At 33.8% G+C, this 20,225-nt stretch overlaps 1 protein-coding gene across 3 annotated transcripts in view; it reads left to right on the top strand.

Annotated features, from left to right (window-relative positions):
* Window positions 1-15,294, top strand: part of HCRTR2 (hypocretin receptor 2) — a 178,245-nt gene extending 162,951 nt beyond the window's left edge. For 2 of the 3 annotated variants that reach the window (NM_001526.5, NM_001384272.1), the window contains 3 exons: window positions 7,961-8,181; window positions 10,904-11,025; window positions 12,806-13,198. In NM_001526.5, coding sequence (NP_001517.2) covers window positions 7,961-8,181; window positions 10,904-11,025; window positions 12,806-13,035 — 573 coding nt within the window. In that variant the 3' untranslated portion in view covers window positions 13,036-13,198. Of the gene's footprint in view, window positions 1-7,960; window positions 8,182-10,903; window positions 11,026-12,805; window positions 13,199-15,147 lie in introns of those variants that run through there. The other variant, XM_017010798.2, reaches the window with a different exon arrangement.

A 20,225-nucleotide genomic window follows, 5' to 3' on the forward strand; every position in this document is an offset into this window, starting at 1 on the left:
TCTACTTGTAGGTTATGTGATATTTTATATAGAAAATCCTAACGAATTATTTTGCAAAAAAATACATTAGAACAAATAAATGAGTTCAGCTAGTTTTCAGGATGAAAGATTAATATATATACAAAAATCAATTTCATTTTTATACATTAGCAAATAAAAATTTAAAATGAAATTAACAAAAAATAATTTAAATAGCATCAAAATTAATCAAATACCTAGAAGTAGATTTAATAAAAGAAGCTTAATAAGAGACTTCATCCAGGCTTGATTGCTTATGCCTGTAATCTCAACACTTTTGGGAGACTGAGGCGGGAGGATCACATGAGGCCAGGAGATCAAGACCAGCATAGTCAACGTGGTGAAACCATGTTTCTACTAAAAACACAAAAATGAGCCAGGCATGGTGGTGCAGTGCAAGACTATAATCCCAGCTACTCAGGAAGCTGAGGCATGAGAATCATTTGAGCCTCAGAGGTGGAGGCTGCAGTGAGCTAAGACTGCACCACTGCACTCCAGCCTGTGTGGCAGAGTTAGACTCTTGTCAAAACAAAAAAAATTCTTCAGCATAAACATGTATATTTAGGGAATGTCCAGAAATTATAGAGACATGGATTCCATGCAGCAGTTATAATTCCCTAAAAAGAGAATTATGAATTCACTGTATTGCTGAGGATTCTAACATAACCACCAAAGATCCAGGGAGAAAATTACCCTATTTTTGTATTTAAAAAGATGCATTTATTAAATGATGTGGTACTAGTCTCTATATAGGCAACAAAAATAATGAAAAGGAAATAGCTCTGGATTATTAAAAATAAATAGTCTGTTAATCAAATCAATTAAATAGATAATGTTCCTTCAACATTTTCAAGTCCTATACATGAATATCATTTACAATCATAATTATTAGCAACTTCAATGAGTAGGCCACAGTTATACAAGTTTCTTGAGTCAGTTTGGAACTATTTCCATTCAAGCAACATATAGTCCATTTCTGTAACATTTTGTTCTCCATCATTATATTCAGTCTCAGAAAGGTTACCAACACAGTCCTTGAATCACATGTAGTACAGGTTAAGCATCTCTAATCCCAAAACCTAAAATTCTAGCTGCTCTAAAATCCCAAACTTTTGAGAGCTAACATGATGCCAGAAGTGGAAAAGTCCCCTGCTATCTCATGTGACAGGTCGTGTCAAAAGTCAACAAAAACTTTGTTTCATGCCCAAAATTATTAAAAATGTTATATAAATTTGTTTAAAGACTATTTGTATTGGGTGTTTATAAAATGTAAGTAAGTTTTGGGTTTAGACTTAAGTCACATCTACAAGATATCTTTTTATGTATATGAAAATAATCCAAAATCCAAAAAAACTCACATCTGAAACACTTTTGGTCTCAAGAATTTCAGATAAGGGATATTCAATCGGTACACAACATATACACCTACAATTACAAAATATCATTGAAAAAACTTAAAGAAGGACTACCTAAATTAAAAGATATTCTGTGTTTATGGATTGGAAGATTCAATCTTGTTAAAATAGAAATAATCTTCAAATTAATCCATGAATTCAATACAATTCCTATGAAAATCCCAGATGGCTTTGTATTTTGGACACAAATTGACAAACTGATCCTAATATTAATGTGGAAATGCAAGGGATAGAGAAGAGCCAAAATAATCTTGAAAAAGAAATGGAAAACTTACTTCCTAATGTCAAATCTTAACAAAAAGCCACAGTAACTAAGACGGTGTGGTACTTCCATACAGTTAGTCATATAGATCAGTGGAATAGAATTCATGGTCCAGAAATAAACTCATATTTATGATTAATTGAGTATTGATAAAGGTTTTAACACAGTTCAATGGCAAAAATCATAGTCCTGACAACAAATGGTGTTAAGACAATTGTATATCCACAAGCAAAAGGATGGAGTTGAACCTCACCTCACACCACATTCAAAACTTAACTCAAAATGAATCATAGATTTATATGTAAGAGCTAATCTCTTAGAAGAAAACACAGAAGAAAATCATCATGACCTTGGCTTAACCAATAGGTTCTAAATATGACACCAAAACCAAAAGCAACAAATGACAATGTAGATACATTAGACATTATCAAAACAAAAACTTTTGTGCTTCAAACTGCACCATTAAAAACGTTAAAAGTCAGCCCATATAAATGCAGAAAATATTTGCAAATCATATATGTGTTAAGGAATTTGTATCCAGAATATACAAAGAACTCTTATGAATTAATAATTTAAAAAAATTACAAGTAGGCAAAGACTTGAATAAACAATTCTGCAAAGAAGATATACAAATGGTCAATAAGCACATAAGAAGGTGCTTAACATCATTACTCATTAGAGAAATATTAATCAAAATCATGAGAAACCTATTCACACTCAACAGGATAGATTTGTTTTAAAAGGCTGTAATCATTATTGGTAAGGATGTGGAGTAATTGGAATCCTTCTACATTGTTGGTGGGAATGCAAAACGATGTAACTGCTTTGGAAAACAGTTTGGTAGTTCCTTAAAATCTTAGAGAATTACCACATTACCCACTAATTCAATCTCTAGTTATAGACCCAGAGAACTGAAGACATGTTTACACAAAAACTTACACATGAATGTTCATAACAGCATATAATTCATAGTAGCCAAAAAGTGGAAACAACCCAAATGTTATCAATGAGTAAATGGAATAACTCATTGTTCTATATGCAAGCAATAAAATATTATTCAGCTACTAAAAGAAATGAAGCACTGATATATGCCACAAGATTGATGAATCTTGAAAACATACTAAGTGAAAGAAGCCAGGCACAGAAGGCCACATATTACATAATTCTATTTGCATGAAAATGTTGAGAATAGGCAAATATATAGAGCCAAAATAATTTGTCCTTGGCACGGGCTGGCAGAATGGGACAATGAGAAGTGACTGCTAATGGATTTGGAGCCTCATTTGGAGGTGATGAAAATGTTCTAGATTAGTTAGTGATGATGTGATAGTTGCACAACTCTGTGAATATTCTAAAAATCATTTTTTGAACCCCTTAAAGCAGTGAGGTTTATGGTATGTGAATTATATCGCAATAAAATGTTTTCTTTTAAAAAGAAAGAACAAAAATGATGGGATATTTTAAAATTTTAAAAATTGAAGACTTTTTTTTTTTTTAGAAAGTTCTGCTGCTGAAACCACAGGGAAGCAAAAAAGGTTGAACACACAATTTGACATGTTAATGTAATGAGAGACTATAATAGGAATTATCCACGGGTTGTTTTATCTGTACTTTCTGACTAAAGTTTTTTTCCGTACTTCTATAGACTTTAAAATGGTCCATAGATGTGCAAAAAATGAGAGAACCTATTCCATGAAACCATATATCAAGTCCCAGAGAGCAGAGGGAAAACCTTTTTTTTTTTTTTTTTTTGCAAAGAAGAAGTCATAGACTGTGTGAAAGAATAATGTTGCGAGACAACAGATCTGGAGTTGGACAGGGGCAGGAGGCATAGTGAGAAGATCAGTTATTGCAGTTGTCATCCATAAGGGCCATCTGTACACTCTGAAAGTGGAGCTATTCATAGTGAGAATGATGTTAAGAAAAGGAACAAATAAAATTACAGTCCTCGTTATAAGAATTTAGCATGCAAATCTTATCAGAGCAGTACTGAGGTAAACAAAAAGTGTCAAGAAATCATGGGATTTAATGTGAAAAACTCCCTCAGTGTTGGAATACAGTCATCTTCATATGGTGGTGGGTGTAAGGGGCAAGGAAAATTTTCATGGTCCCTGCTGAACAGGGAAATGTAAGGGGATTATTGTTTCATAGAAGACCGCCAGTGCCTACCAAATATCTGTTATACTCTATTATGATGAAATGGGTAATAGGTTAAGGAATACCATAAGGGGAAAGGAGACTTGTCCTACAAGTTTCTTAGCACTTAGCAAATGGAGCAGGCATTTGCTATGCATTAAAAAATAAGCATCATCCAAACTCTCAGACTCATCCAGCCACAAACTTAACTTTTTGTTCCTCCTCCTCCCAGATAAAATTCTCGACTTATTTCCATTTGTCATCTTTTTCTCACTAACCGCCACCTCCACTGATGTCTCAGCCCACTTCAGTGTAGCTTCAGCTTTCATCATTACAGTGAAACAGCTTACATGAAAGTTACCAATGATTTCTAAAGAATATATATTTTTAAAGTTTATTTATTGATCTTTTGGCAGCATTAAGCAATGTTGTTTGTGGTTTCATTGCTCATATACTTTCTTCCTACTTTGATTTGAATACTTTTTGCTTTGAATACTTACCTTTCCTTCCCTGACCAGTAAATGCCACTTTGCTAGGTCTCTTCACAGCTCCATGCTTTTTTTCAGGTAGTCCCTTGCCCAGGTACTTTTTAAGTGAGGTGAGTATCAAATATATATACACATCAGACTAGTCCTCTGGGATACACACAATCACAAATACACTTAAACACTCAATGTACCTTTATTATAAATCTTGAAATGAGTTTTTATAAGTCTTGCAACCAAAGTTTAAAAAAGAATAAATTCTTTTTTTAAATTGCTTTGGCTATTCCAGGTCTTTTGCACTTTCATAAAAAATTAAAATTAGTACTTTCATTTCCAGAAAAAAGACTGTCGTGGTATTGAACGTGATTAATTGCATTAACTCTATAGATCAATTTGGGGAGAATTGCCATATTAACAATACTAAGCCTTTTAATGCATGTCCACAATGAATATATTTATTTAGGAGTTCTTTATTATCTCTCTGCAATGTTTCATCATTTTCAGTATATATATATATATATAATGAAATATATATACTTATACATATATTTTATGAAATATATATACTTATATATATATTTTATGAAATATATATACTTATATATATATTTTATGAAATGTATGCCTAAAACACATTCTTTTGATATTGAAACTTTTAAAATTTAATTTTCCATTTATTGCTAGTATGTAGAAGTATAATTGATTTTTTTGTTTATTGATTTAATGACCTGCTCCTTGCTAAATTCTTTTATAAGTTCTAGTGGGTTTTTGGTAGATTCTTTAGGATGATCTTTGTAAGCAATAATTTCTTCTCAATAGAACCAATCTGTAGGCATTTTATTTATTTTTCTTTTCTTCTTGTATTGGCTCAAAGTCCAGTACAATGTTGAGTACGAGTGGTGAGAGAAGACTTGATTTTTTGAGTGGTAAGCCAACACTGCATTGCTAGAATAAATCTGATTGAGCAAATGGTATTATCCTATTTATATATTGCAGGATTTAATTTGATAACATATTTTTAAAGAGATTTTTATCTCTATTCATGAAGGATATTTAGTTGTTAGCTGTCTTTTGTTGCCATATCTTTGATTACAAAGATAAATGTGACCTCATGAAATTTGTTGGAACATATTATATTTTCTGTACATTTCATTAAAAGTCTGAACAAGATTGGAATTATTTATTCTTTACTGTTTGATTGAATTCATTAATGGACCTATCTGGGCCTGGAGATTTTCTTGTAGCATAGTTTGTAAGTACAGAGTCAGTTTTGGTCATCTTTGTCTTTCAAGGGCTTTGTCCATTTCATGTAAGTTGGCAAATTCATTGTTTATTCATAATGTTTTTAATGTTTGTAGCATGTTTGCCTCTTCCTCATAACTTTATCCTGGTCACAAACATTTTTTAAGACAGAGTAGGTTTTAAGGTCCATCATGTACATGCTATTTCCAATTCATAACTGTGGTAATACATTTTTCAGGGTGTATTTTTGCATTAAATATGATTTATAAAGTTTATTCATAATAGTGAAATAAAAGTGGGGTGCATGTATTTTACTTAATCCTTCTCAGTGCCTGCTTGATTGAAACCTCTGAGATTTACAATAATGTACTTTTAGGGATGCATTAAGGATTACTAGTGCATAGTTCCTGGAGCTCAGTAATGTCAGTTATTCCTCTTAATTTTATACGGAGTTTCTCTGAATTCTCCATGTCTCTAGACAGCTTATCAATGGAGAAATTTATGTGTCCTCAAAATGAATGCAGGATTCAGCATCTTCTATCCTTATTTAGATCATTATCTAAAAAGGGCATCACTACATTTTTTTTTTCCCGATTTCAGGGACCATAGCTTTCTCTTTATGAAAACTGTATTTTTTTTTTTTTTTTGAGATGGAGTTTTGCTCTTGTTGCCCAGGCTGGAGTGTAATTGTGTGATCTCATCGGCTCATTGCAACATCCACCTCCTGGGTTCAAGCGATTCTCCTGCCTCAGCCTCCTGAGTAGCTGGGATTACAGGCATGTGCCACCACGCCCAGCTAATTTTGTATTTTTAGTAGAGGCGGGGTTTCTTCATGTTGGTCAGGCTGGTCATGAACTCCCAACCTCAGGTGACCGAAAACTGTTTCTAATGGCGGCAGAAGTCATCAGATGCAGAATGTAGATTCTCTCCTTCAGGGGAACAGTCAGTGATAGAATCACTAAAATTTAATTGATCTATCAGAGATCATTTAGAAGACAGTTCAAGATCATTTAGCAGACACATACAGGCTTTTCATGATAGGAGTCTCCTGGAACATTCCAGCATCCATTGCTCATTCTTTTCAGTTATTTTTTAAAATTGCTTTTTAAAATGAGAGTCACAGAAGAGAAAGTTCCTATCTCTCCCCAACCAGTGGGTTAAAAGATTGAGTTGAACCACTACTATGTAAAAAAGATTGTCTACATGACAAGACATACAGAGTGAGAAGAAAAATAATTTATCCGATATTTTCCATTCAAGGGCAGGTCTTTGTTAACATCATTTGCCTCTTCAAGAAAGAAAATGGTCAAAGGAAATGTCATATTAATTTATCTGTGTGGACATATAAGTAAAATTCTGTTCTCAAATTAAAGATTATCGAACAGACTTTGATCTGGTGGTGTAAAAAGCAACAAAATCTATCGAACATCTATTCTGAGAAACCACAAGGACACATTGGTCAGTACTGGTTTGCCGCACAGAGACAGAAAGTAAAAGCTGAATAATCTTAACAGAGCTAAGGTGGCCTTTTCTTGTGTTTGTTGGCACATTTTCCTCTTTAAAAAATTATGCATGCTGAATTTTATTGTTCTGTTCACTAAACCCTATCAATCTTCATGAGCTTACAATTAAGAGAATATTGTACTTGGAGGGATTCCCTGCTATTATCAAATAACTTTGAAAAGAAATGGAAAAGTACAAGTTGTGTAATTACTGTTACAAATTCCAGCTATTTGAAATATTAATGTAAGACCGCAAAAAATCCTCAATGGGTTTGTGTGCATTTTAAAGGGCTGGACCACAAAACTGATTTCAAACAATTTCATAACTACAAATAGTGAACAACAAAAAATACTTGATTTTTTAAAAATATCCTTTCATTCAAAGGTTTGCTTTGTCCGAACTCGAGAAGCAGAAAACCTGAAAAGCTACAGGTAGTTAAGTTCTATCTCTCTGGCAGCAGATGGCAGTATTGATGCGTGAAAAATCCATAACAGGTTGCTTGACGTTACTTGCTGGGTTTTCCTCTGCTTTAAACTTTGGTATCTGAGCTGAACAAAAATTCCTAATAAGATAATATGGCTGACATCCCTTTATCATTCTCCTTTCCCAAGCTTTGTTCTTTTTACAAGGAAATATCTTTTCCACTTGCAGCTTTCTTTAGACATTGACAAAATTTTGATGTTTTAACTTTTTTTTCCACACAAACTCCTATTTGGTATTCGTCTGAATTAACGCCAAGCACATACTAAGGTCAGCAAATGCTCTGGAGAAACAGGCGCTCAAACCTCCCACACCTCAGGCGTCTGGAAGCCTTTCCTTACTGTGTTTTCTAATTACTTCCCCAAAGTGGAACTTTCCTAAGTCAAATTGCAATAAGGGTCTGTCTCTTCTCCTTTCAGATCCCTGGAACATCATCTGTAGTTCAGAGAAAATGGAAGCCCCTGCAGCCTGTTTCACAGCCTCGAGGGCCAGGACAGCCAACGAAGTCCCGGATGAGCGCTGTGGCGGCTGAAATAAAGCAGATCCGAGCCAGAAGGAAAACAGCCCGGATGTTGATGATTGTGCTTTTGGTATTTGCAATTTGCTATCTACCAATTAGCATCCTCAATGTGCTAAAGAGGTAAAACTTATCTGTTATTTGAAAATGAAATAGCCTGCCTTTTCTTGATTCTTAATTAACTTTTTTTTTTTTTTTAACTAAGCCAGAGAAAAATCTAAACTTTCTGCTTAGATACCTTGTCAGGCCAGATGACTCAGTTATGTTGTTACCAGCAGGTAAGGCGAACAGCCTTTAAGAGTGCTCAGACATGTGCTTTTGTCATGCGTATTCTCAGTTGCATGGCAGACATAAAACAGATGTTTCTCCAATCTCTTCAAGCTAGTTGCTAAACCTTAGATGCAGACAAAGTTCTAATGCGTAACAACTCATTTACAGCTTGCAGTTCTTTCTTGATGAGAACAAACGGGTTTTTCAAAACTTCGTTTCCAAAAACATAGGCAATTGTGAGAGAATTATATCTTAAGGATAAAAAGAGATAAGAACCTTATGTTAGTATTCTAATTATACTTAAAAGTGCATTGGCGAGCACTTTTTAAAAAAAGCCATCAAGGCAGATATGTATGTCGAATGTCTAAACAGAAGAATTCATTTCCTGAAGTCACTGAATGAAGCTCAGGGCAGATAGTAATAAAAATCAATGAGGGAAAGTATGCTATTTGCTACAATGCAGGCACAACTATTAAGTTAAAAATTTTGACCCATGACATGAGCAGCAGATGCAGAGGCAGTGGTACACACTAAACTTCATGGCCAGCCAACTTTATTGGGAATTATCGAAACTGTTCCACATAGACTGGTCCCAAGGCAATACCAATTCTTGTTTACAACAGGCTTCGAACTTAAGCTAGAATTGCTCCTCTCACTTTGGCCTGATTCAGAATCAATATTATATTCCTCACAGCTGGGAACTCTGAAGAACAGCAGCTTTGGCTGGAGTCAGAAGAAGTGGTATAATCAGCCGCAAAGGGTTCTCATTCTCTTTGGCCCCTGTTTTTGATGGTTTAACGGCTTTTTCAATGGAGAAGAAATGGAGAACAAACTTCTGTTCAGTGATACTATTTACTACAGTCACAGCCTTAAAGATATATGATTTTTTTTGTGGCCTGGGTCCTTGAGACATATGCCAGCTCACAAGAAAATAGAAATTATTTTGCCCTCCATATCTTTTTGTGCTTTGCTTCTTATTAATTATTATTATTATTATTATTATTATTATTTTTGCTAACAGAAATTTAATACAAATTTATTATGGCCACCTGCTAGATACTCTCTTCTGCTTTTAAGAACTTTATAAACATGTTATGTTACTGGATGGGTTTTATTCTTTCTTTCTCTTTCTAATCTTTTTTCTCTTTTAGTCAGTCTAAATTCAATGAAAATTGGATTTACCTCTCTCTGGGTTACGTATTTGGATTTCCTGTATCTCAGAACTTGCTCTTTCCTTTTATTTCCAACTACTTTTTTTGTCAATAATATATGTCTTATTCTTCTGACTCAAATCCCTTCCTTTCCAAGGAAAACAAATAACTTTCAAAGGAGCAAGGCTGTGTTAAATTTAAGATATTTCAAGTTTTGGGGCATTCTACTCTTTTCCACAACATAAAAACTTTTGAAAAAAAGAACTTGAAAATTGTTTTTCTTGTTACCACACACATTTTTTTTCAAATGCTTATATTTATTTATCCTTGCATATGAAATTTGTTTTTTCTTTCTCCCACAAAAACCATTCCTAGCTTTTTCTCCTTAAAACTTAACTTTTTGCCGAATTAGTCAAAAGCAATTTCTTTACAACAGTTCAGGTTTGTCCAAGATTTCAAAGACATTTTGAGGTAAAGGGTCATAACATAGTACAAATTTCTTTTGTCCGTATTATTTCACTCTATATAGTATTTTTGTAAAACTCTAGTACTCTTTATACCAGAAATGGTATAAGGTACACCTTATACCAGAAATGCATTGTTGTCATGCCTTCTTGCTGTAACACACACACACACACACACACACACACACACACTGATACAGACAATCGAAGATGGAGACTTTAGCAGGAAATATATATGATTTTTGGCCTATAATCTTATTGAGTAGCTGTAAGTTATCTGTTATAGGTTAGTGATTAGAATTTATAGATGGAATATTTCTAAGTATGGAGAAAATTTTTTAATAGTCTTTAAGGATAGCATAACAAAACATTTTTTAAAGTTTAAAATAATACATGAAAAATTAACACTCATTAATTTTTAAAAATTACCAAAATTCTGCCCATCGAGAACTGTTTCTTCTCTGGGTATTAAGGAGTCCCAGAAGGCAAGTTTCAGATAGTCCAGGAAGATTGGAGTTGAAGGCATATGATACTTTGATCAATACATAAATGAAAGTAGGAAGAAGTACTTGAAGACTATCATTTAGGAGTGATTTTTAAATGATACACATAATAGAATATTAATACAACATTATTCAATTGTATTTAGAAAGAAAATGAAATAAAGAAGATATATATTCAACTTCCATATTCTTATTTACAAGAAATACTGCATCTGCTATTTGTGGGAGGGAGAGACCCTTCTCTGACCTGATTTGGCTTTTGATTTATTGATTGTGCTGTGGAGGTTCTGTTCAGGCACTGAAGTTATTCTAAACCAATTATGGGGTCAGAAACCAATCTGTGGTCAATTCCTGCAACTGAAGAGGACAGGAGTCAGACCATCCTCTACCAATAGCCTTGTTCACCTTTGAATTTAATTATTTAAAAGACACTTTTCTGTTGTTTCTTTTCCTGCAGAGTATTTGGGATGTTTGCCCATACTGAAGACAGAGAGACTGTGTATGCCTGGTTTACCTTTTCACACTGGCTTGTATATGCCAATAGTGCTGCGAATCCAATTATTTATAATTTTCTCAGTGGTGAGTTTTCAACTGTTCTTCCATAAGCCACAATTGTAACCAAGGATGAGGAATCAATGAACACTCTTCAACTATATGAGGAGTTTAGTTGCTATGTGAGTTGTATTTTTTCCCTGACCTGATTTATCTTGAGTTTCTTCTCTTTTGAGGCAAAGTATTTGTTACTGAACTCATCAGAGAAAATGAACTGATTTTTCCATGTCAAACGTATAAGAAATGTTATAATAGAAGAAAAGTAAACATTCTGAGAAATCAATAACACAAAATCTTACATGACATACTTTAAACTCATGATTTACAAAAATATAAAATACTTTGTTCTGTTTTGCCTTGCTATATTATTCCTTTGCCAAAATGTGTAGCCTAATTGAGACAGAATTGGGATCTATTCACTTTTAGATATTTTACTATATTTACGTTTCTCTTGTGAGTATCATCTCTTGGATTTATCTCAATATTTCCCACTGACTACCAAAAATAGTATTACTCCAAAATAACACATAAGTTAAATGATACACACATACATATATGTGTAACTTATACAATTTGTATCTGTTTATGGAATCAATATAATTATAAAAGTCATTTAAATCACTATTGTTTATTCACATTTTGCCCGACTGACTTTTAGAATTATGTTTTAATTAGCTACCTTTTTACATTGCCTTAATCTCCAACTCATTGGCGATTTCTTTGTTATTTCTATCTTCAAATATATGGTGATTTTATGTGGAAGAATAGAAATTCATTTTGTGGCATATTTAATAAAGCTTCTGCATCTTCCAACTTGATCTTTGGCCTTCTGGTTTGCATAGGTTTAAAAAAAAGGCAACAAATTAGATTGATGAGAAATAATTTTGTTCTATTTAAAAAAAAATCTAGCACAATGACTAAAGCTCTGAACCTCGCACTAAGCAGGTAAAGGCTATGAGGAAGTTGTAATGAGAAGTGTTTGAAGCAGAAGTCACAGAACCAGGTCAAAGTCCTAGTATGGAGGATAAAAGTGAGTTAGAGGAGGCAACTGATAATCACTGATAACTCATTATGTGACTGCTATTGTGCTGGGCCCGTGAACATTCATCTTCTCATTTAATCACTGATAACTCAGTGCGTAGCTGAGGCTAAGAGAGAAGAAATGATTCGCAATACTGCCATTCACACTAATAAAAGTGATTCATTCATTCTCATAGTTCTCCAATATCTCCTCCATAATTTAAAGACAAGGAATAGCTTCTACAGTATTTTTCCCCCTTCAGTTTTTGTTCTTTCTTATATAGATTATGAAACTGAAAATTTTCTGGATATTTGAGTGTATGTTTCTAGGTATTTTGTGGATTTAATTGTTTCAGTATCAGTTATTTAGAGTAAAATGCAGGAGTAATTTTTGTATAATTTTGGCTTTGTATGACATAAGTTTCATTGTGTTTAATTATTAAATATCTCTGAGAGTTCTTCTACTGATGATCACTTCCATTATAGTTATGTAGATAAAATATACCAATATGCGTAAATATATGAGGTTTGACTATAAAGGAATGAAGCAAATTCCAAGCCCCATATGTGAAAGGCAGCCTCGTTATTTTATGAAAATATTCATTGTTTCAAGAGTCTACCAAGCTTCCAATAAACTCAATTTCCTTATTCTATTTTACCCATCTTTGCAAAATATTACACCTCATTGTTAGTTTGGCTCAAGGGAGCAACTCAGTTGTACCCTATTCATAATTTGTTGAAGCATTTATGTATAATTCCTTTTCCTTTCATTCTCTCTGTTTGCCAGGAAAATTTCGAGAGGAATTTAAAGCTGCGTTTTCTTGCTGTTGCCTTGGAGTTCACCATCGCCAGGAGGATCGGCTCACCAGGGGACGAACTAGCACAGAGAGCCGGAAGTCCTTGACCACTCAAATCAGCAACTTTGATAACATATCAAAACTTTCTGAGCAAGTTGTGCTCACTAGCATAAGCACACTCCCAGCAGCCAATGGAGCAGGACCACTTCAAAACTGGTAGAATATTTATTCATATGACAAGGATACCTGAGTAAAACTATCCTTTTTAAAATCACTGGGAACAGAAATTTTATTATCCTATGATGTGAAGCTAAAATTACTTGTGGATCTTTTTTTTTTTTAATCTATTGCTCTTTGGAAATAAAAAAAAAGTCAGTTTAAAATGATTTCTCAACTTTTGATTTAAATATGTTAGAAGTTTAACCTTCAATTGAGCTTATTTCAGGCTATTTCACTTTTAGTTTCATGTATTAAAATGTGTCAATTAAATGTTTAAACATTTCTAATTCTTTTTATAATCCCTTGTTATTTTAATCTCTCACATTCAGATTGGTTCCTAAAAATTACCAGAATCTATCCAATGATTTTTTTTGCTACTAAAAGAAGTAGCAATTACTAATTCTGAATTAACAATAGACATGTTAGTTGACTTAATAGTTTTTTTAAAAAAAATCACAAGACTGTTGTTATAATGTGATATCTGAGAAAATATTTATATATAAAATAGCATATTGTGTTAGGTAATTCAAAAACTATCTTACAAAACTATATACTCACTCATTTACACAATTTTCTCAGGTTTGCAAATTGACCATTGCTAACATTTCTTGTCTCAACATATGGCCAGTAAGACTCTATCACAGTAAAAGTTTTAACGTAATTTCCATCTCTAACACTTTAACATTTAAGAATAAGCTAAATCACATCATTATATTCTTTTAACAACAACAACAAAAAGTGATATAGTCAGCCTTGCTGGATTAAATTAAAAATGCACCACTGTGCTAGGTGCTAGGGAATGAGATGGCGTCGATGCAAACATGCCTTCAAAAGAGCTTCAGTCTAGTGAGGGAGACATGTTGACAGAGTGCAAGGCAGCAAACAATCTGGGGGACAATTCTTGGTCATGGCAGAGCAGTGAAGCTACCAAGGACAGTGGTCTTCACCAGAAAGTTTGTAGCGCAGTTGCACTTTTTTTTTTTCTTCAATTTAATTACAATGACAGTTGATGTCAGTGGATTCCATCTGGGCCTGGGGCTGAGTACCAGGTGGTTAAAAAATAGAGGGGCTTGCTCTTAACTCACACATACATGAATAGACTATCGTATATTTTGTAGAAAATGTAAGATCTGGGAGTCAAAGCACTGAGTATTCAAACTTATTCCCCTGAAAAATTCTTCTGATTCAAATATTTACTTGAAAATTAAACTAAAAGTAAAAGAAGTGTTTATGAAAGATGATTTTCATCTCCTATTATGGTAACAGGTGTTCTGATTGTATTGAAACAAAAGATATGGGGCACAGTGTTTAAGAAAAACTTTCATAGAAAATTAATTTTTGTTATTTTTTCATTTTTCCATTACACTCAGAGAAAAGTAAAAGAGCCTAATTATCCACAACTTGTTTTCAAATCTTGGAATTTGGGATTCTGTTACCTTGTGCCTTTTATGACTCAAAGCAAAAACTATCTTCTTATACAAGGTTTATTGAGATCATATTGTAAAATATCAGCACTATATCAGTGAAAGCAAGGTATTTTAACTCTCTCCTTTCTCCCCTTTGTATATTTTAGAACTTCTTTTCTTATTTATGCTGCATGAAAGGAGAGTTGTAATTTTCGGATCGTGATGACAGCACTTTAAAAAGTTTGAGGATAACTTCAAATAACGTTGATAATATGCCTTAATAGCCAGTAATAGCTCAGAGGAAGAGTAAATTCCTTAGACCCAAATATACCTACTTATAATTTAAAAGAGAGAAAAGGGAGAGAGATTGAGAGGGAAAGGGGGAGAGAAGGAAAAAACTGACTCAGAGAGCAGCAGTTATGTGACGTATGGGAAGTCAGAATTCCTTTGCTCTAAATCAGTGATTCTCAAAATGTGGTTTCTATACCATCGGCATCAGCATCATCTGGGAACTTAGTGGACATGCTAACTTCCACCCTATCCCTCACCTACTTAACCAGAAACTTTAGGGGTGATAGCCCAAAAGCTGTGTGTTAAGCACTACAGGTGTTTCTGAAGCACTTTAAGATTTGAGATCCACTGCTTTAAGTGATACCATCTGACATCAGTTTATCTGCCTGTGTGAAATAAAGTCTTTTACTGCACAGGTGTCTACAACAGGGGCCACCATCATCGCTACCGTCAACGTGGTTGGATGTCTGAAAGAAGAAGCTGAGTATCAATGTTGACTCTCACTCATGTCATCTTATTAAAAAAAAAACAGTTTACAAAACAATTGCTACTGATAAATGCAGTGTGAAAGACTGGTTTTAAGGCACTGGTTTAAGGCACTGCTTTATGTCCACCCAGATAACTTGAGTTTTTAACTAAAAGTTTCAAATCACTATCTTCTTTATACTTACTAAAGTTCGTTTTGCAGAAGCAGATAGTTTCTAAGAATGATCATTTCATGGAAGGAGATATAAAATAAAATAAAACCAGTACTTAAACTCTGGGAATGTAATAGGCCATGTACATAGCACTCAACATGTGAATCCAGGAATCCTTCTAAGAGGTCTAGATTTAGTATGGTTACCTTAATAGGACAAATGGTAAAGAAATAGGTGTTCCCAAACTCTGCCAATCTTATGAAACAAAGAGTCAACTCTTTACCTCATTATTTGCTAATGACACAAATGCAAAGACATCTTTTGAAAAGAATGTGTTGGGACTGTTTTATGCTGTACCTTGAATGTGTATCTCTCTTTTTTTTGCTATATTTCAAAGATTTAATGTAAGTTGTCAATGTCATTGAGTTCTTGTTATCAATAGGGATGATATAATTTTATCTAACATGGAATCCATTTTAACTTTGTTATTTCTGAATTTCTATGAAACCACAAAAACCTTCATACTTGAATTTATTTATTCTTGGCTAAAGATTACTCCCAGTTTGTGAGGAAATTTATTTCTGAGTTTCCAAAGCTTGGAGAATTTATTGGATATTAAATACCTGTTATAAATTATTGATGAGTTAATTGCAAGTAGCAGACACAATGATATTGAATTTCACTCCCAATACACATTGTTTTAATGAAGATTAAGGTAAATATGTTTATAAAATTTAGTCTGGCTATGCTTAAACCTGAAATAGCAGAATGGCAAAAAACCCCAAAGCTGTTTATGGACCCAAATTGTGAGGAGGGCTATTATTTTAATACTTGTGTAATAATAGAATGCACTTGATGTAAATTGTAATAGCCATCAACTGCATTTCAAAAACCTTTCGCTAGCCACTACAATTTAGAAAGCTTTTCAGTGTCAGTTAGTTTTACAACAAATGCCTTTTCTACTTTCTACAAGTCACAAGTCAAAAAAAAGTAAATTCCACCAAGTTTTATTCAATTAGTTTTCAAATTGCATGAAGCAAAAAATAGATTTTTAGAGACAATATATAAATAGAAAAAATATTGTAAAAGTCTACTCTATTACCTTATGTACCACAAAAAAATAAAGTACAAAGGCATGAAAAACACTATTATTTCCCAAAGTTCAAAGGGAATTGTTTTCTACGCAACTACTGCTACTAACAAGGGGACAACAACCCCCTCCACTTGCCACGTATTTTTATTCTCTTTTCTTTATATCTTTGGAGTTAAATGTCTTTTATGTTTTTCATGAAATGTATTCTATAATTGTTGTATTTCATGTGTGTAACATTATGTCAGTTGTTTTAACAATTATCTTATATCTTGAAATTCTTTATGCCTGATTGTACTGTGTCTTCATGAAGAAATTTCTTATCAAATCCAATGTGATTACACACTTACTGCTGTAAAGGATGCGCATTATGTAGTTTTTAAGTAAAAACTATAGTGAGAATTCTATAATCACATTCACACTCCCCTCTCTATTGTATGAAAAATCTTGTTGTTGTTGATTAGATAAGGTGGATATTCACTCATAGTTAATGTCAAATCTCTGCAGTTAAGGATTGAATTAAGCCCTCTGGTGCAGTACCTAATGATCAAAACATTTTTTCCAATAAGTTTATATAACCAAGGATAATAATGATATAAAAGGTTTTTAATGTTGTTTTTAAGAGCAGGTACTATAACAAAGAAGGTTAACACTGGTACAGAAATATTTCATAAAAGTTATGAAAACCAGATAAATACAGTATTAAATTTTGGAGCTTTTATCTGAGTTGAGAGATTTAGTCTACATTGACTGAGATGAAATGATGAACTCATAATTTTCAATTTATTATCAGAATAATAAGTGACATTTACATAATTAATTTTTTTCTGGGCCATTTTGTATAAGTCATTTAGGACTATTTTAAGTTCACTGGTAAATTTTAAAATGTATATTTTCAGCTTTTCAATTTTTTTCAAAATAGTTCTGAGAAATTACAGAATCAGATACTAAGGATATTAATTTAAAAATCAATTTTTATTCAGCACTATTTATTCTAACATATATAAAAAATGAAGCCAAAGTAACCCGTCAAGGTAAATACTTGACTCCTAGGAAAATGTGATTTTAGTAGGCATCTCAAGAGGAAGTGAAACTTCTCGTGGTGAAATTACAAGAAAAACAAGTTATTCAGTGGTGAGAATGTGTTGCTCTAAGCAATCCATTAGCACAGACTAGCTACTTGGCCACTCCTCTTCCTTCTGGAGCCAGCCCTGAAGAGTGGTCACAGCATCTTCATTTTTATCCAGGCCAATGGCCATGCATGAGAAGTTGGGTAGCAAAATTCTTGAAGCACCTCTTTGTTCTTGCTCTTCTTTCACTGTTTTCTCACTCTCCACCTGTAATGCTCACTGCCAGTTTTACCACCAAGCTAAGTATCAGCAGACCTCCCTCCACAGCGTGCCTTGCCCTGTAGAACTCCTGGTCCTTCCTTCAGCCCAACCCCATCCAATTGCCTAGGTTCTTGTTGTCTCCTGAGATGAACAAGAGGCAAGTAGCTAATTTGAGAACAAATGAAGCAGAGCTGAAGGAAAAAGTAAAACATTTATTTTTTCATATCCCAAATTTTATAATTTTACATTTTTTTAAAACCCATTCATTTTCTTCCCAGAACATTTATGCTTATCAGTGGTCTTCTGAATCTGTGACAACTCCCTTTTCAAGCCCCAGCTAAGCTTCTTGCCTCAAGCCAGAAGGAATCCCAGTTTTGAGTCTTGTGTTAAGGCCATGGCAGGTCAGTAGGGAGATTATCTGAGGAGGTACCGCTTGTGACACCTTCAGAAACAAAACAGCTATTGCCTTACGTTTCATAGGCCCAGGCCCTGAGCAATAGCAAAAAGATAATACTTATTTTTTTAAACTGTTGTTTATTAGGTGATCGATTTCTAATTAATTTCAAAATATTTAAGGTAATATTTTAATTACCGAGGAAGAATGGTACAAACAAAATGTTGTGGAACTGGAAAATCCTCAGTGCTTGGCAACATGAAACTTATTTAACTTATTATAGATGAGATAATGAGAACATCTTCAGAAAAGAAGCTATGTTCCTTAAAACAGGGGTACAGATTTAAAAGCTCTGTTTATATGGTTTTGGTAGACTAAGTGAAGAACTTGCCTATAAAGCTGAGTCTAGATCATATAGCATATCCATTATAAAGTGAGAAAATTGCAATTTTAGAGTATTGTCAATACATCCAAAAATTTTTACATGATTTCTAAATGCAGATGTGTGTGTGTGTATGTCTACGTATGTCTCTCCATATGCAACAAGCAGTTAATTAGTCCAAATATATCCCACAGTGTAGATTAGTTTCATATCTCAGCTCTTCAATGTCTCTTCTTCATTTAATTCACTCCTTGGTGTCTAGTTTTCCTCACTCTTTTACAAATATCCAGGTTCTATATTTCTGCTTTTCTAGAGAGCTTTTTCCCTCAAGAATATATTTCTTTTTCTTTCTTTCTCTTTATTTTTGTTTGTTTTTAACTAACATTCATATGGTTATAACAATTTGAGACAAGTGAAAAGGAAAGATCTGTAAACTGCCTATCTCCTTTGAAATTCATTGCCAATAATCCTTAAGAATATAAAGTTCCTTGATGCCAAAGACCTTCTCATTAGTGTTGCTGCCTGTTGTTTCATTGGTTCCCTAGAACAATGCCTGGCACATAAAAGTTATTTGATAAATATCTCTGCTATTAATGAATTAATAATAACTGCATGACAATTCTTTCCTCAATTCATCATTTTGCTTCATTTTCTCACAGTTGCTTCAATGTGTCTGTGGAACTATCTTTCCATGTGAACAAAACACTCTACATTCTCAGTGTCTACAAAGCACATATTTCCTTTTATTAAAATTAAACTTTGAGAGCACCAAATCCTAATGTCTAACCATCATCAAACTGGCAGATAGCACCAGTATTCTTTTTGCTCACCAATTTTATGCCCAGGCATCTACTGTTTCTTTCATGAATAAAACCTGACACCTGTAAGAGGATTTATCATGGTGAACTTCTCTTTGTTACTGACATTTTCAGCCTCTTGGGCTCTCCCCTCCTTACTTATACACATTGGCACCCAGCTTGAAGTCATACTCTCTAGACCCTGGGTCAATGTGGGTAATGCATCCAGGAATCCAGCTTAACTCTTCCTTGGTCTCTTTGATGTGACTGACCTTTATTTCTACATTTCTTCATCAAACCAGTCTCACAGTTTTGCACAGTGCAGATCACATGCTGCACCGTGTGCTTATTATCTCCTATAACAACAGATGCTCCACTGAAATGCAAAACTCTGTGTTAAGCCAACAACTGCTTCTCCATCCTTTCCTCCTATACGTTTCTTCTCACTACAACTTCCCTTCTCAACCCCAAAGGGACTACTGGATTCTTTACTCTTTTATTTTACCCCAGTCTATCAGTCCCATCCTGGACTTCCTTCCTTCTCTGCTTAGAGGAAAGCAAGATGCTCAGGTAGAATTGCACTTATGACTAGATATTATTTACTTCAAACAAATTCTTACTATTTTGTCCTGATGAAATTCATGACAGTTTTCATACAACAGAAAGCCTGCCCTCTTAGAAGAGAAGAGAACTGAAAAGAAATGGTTGAAGTAAGGTAGAAAGCCCTCATGGAGTTAGGTGGCTAGGCCAGCAGAGCTAGGCACTGTTCTCCTGTTCAGAATTGCACTCCTGATACTCCAGATGGGAAGCCTGCCATGGCACTAACCACAGCACTTTTTATACCCTATCTCTGCTATTATGA

Source organism: Homo sapiens, chromosome 6 (assembly GCF_000001405.40).
Source record: "Homo sapiens chromosome 6, GRCh38.p14 Primary Assembly".
In the NCBI taxonomy this organism is placed as follows: domain Eukaryota; kingdom Metazoa; phylum Chordata; class Mammalia; order Primates; family Hominidae; genus Homo; species Homo sapiens.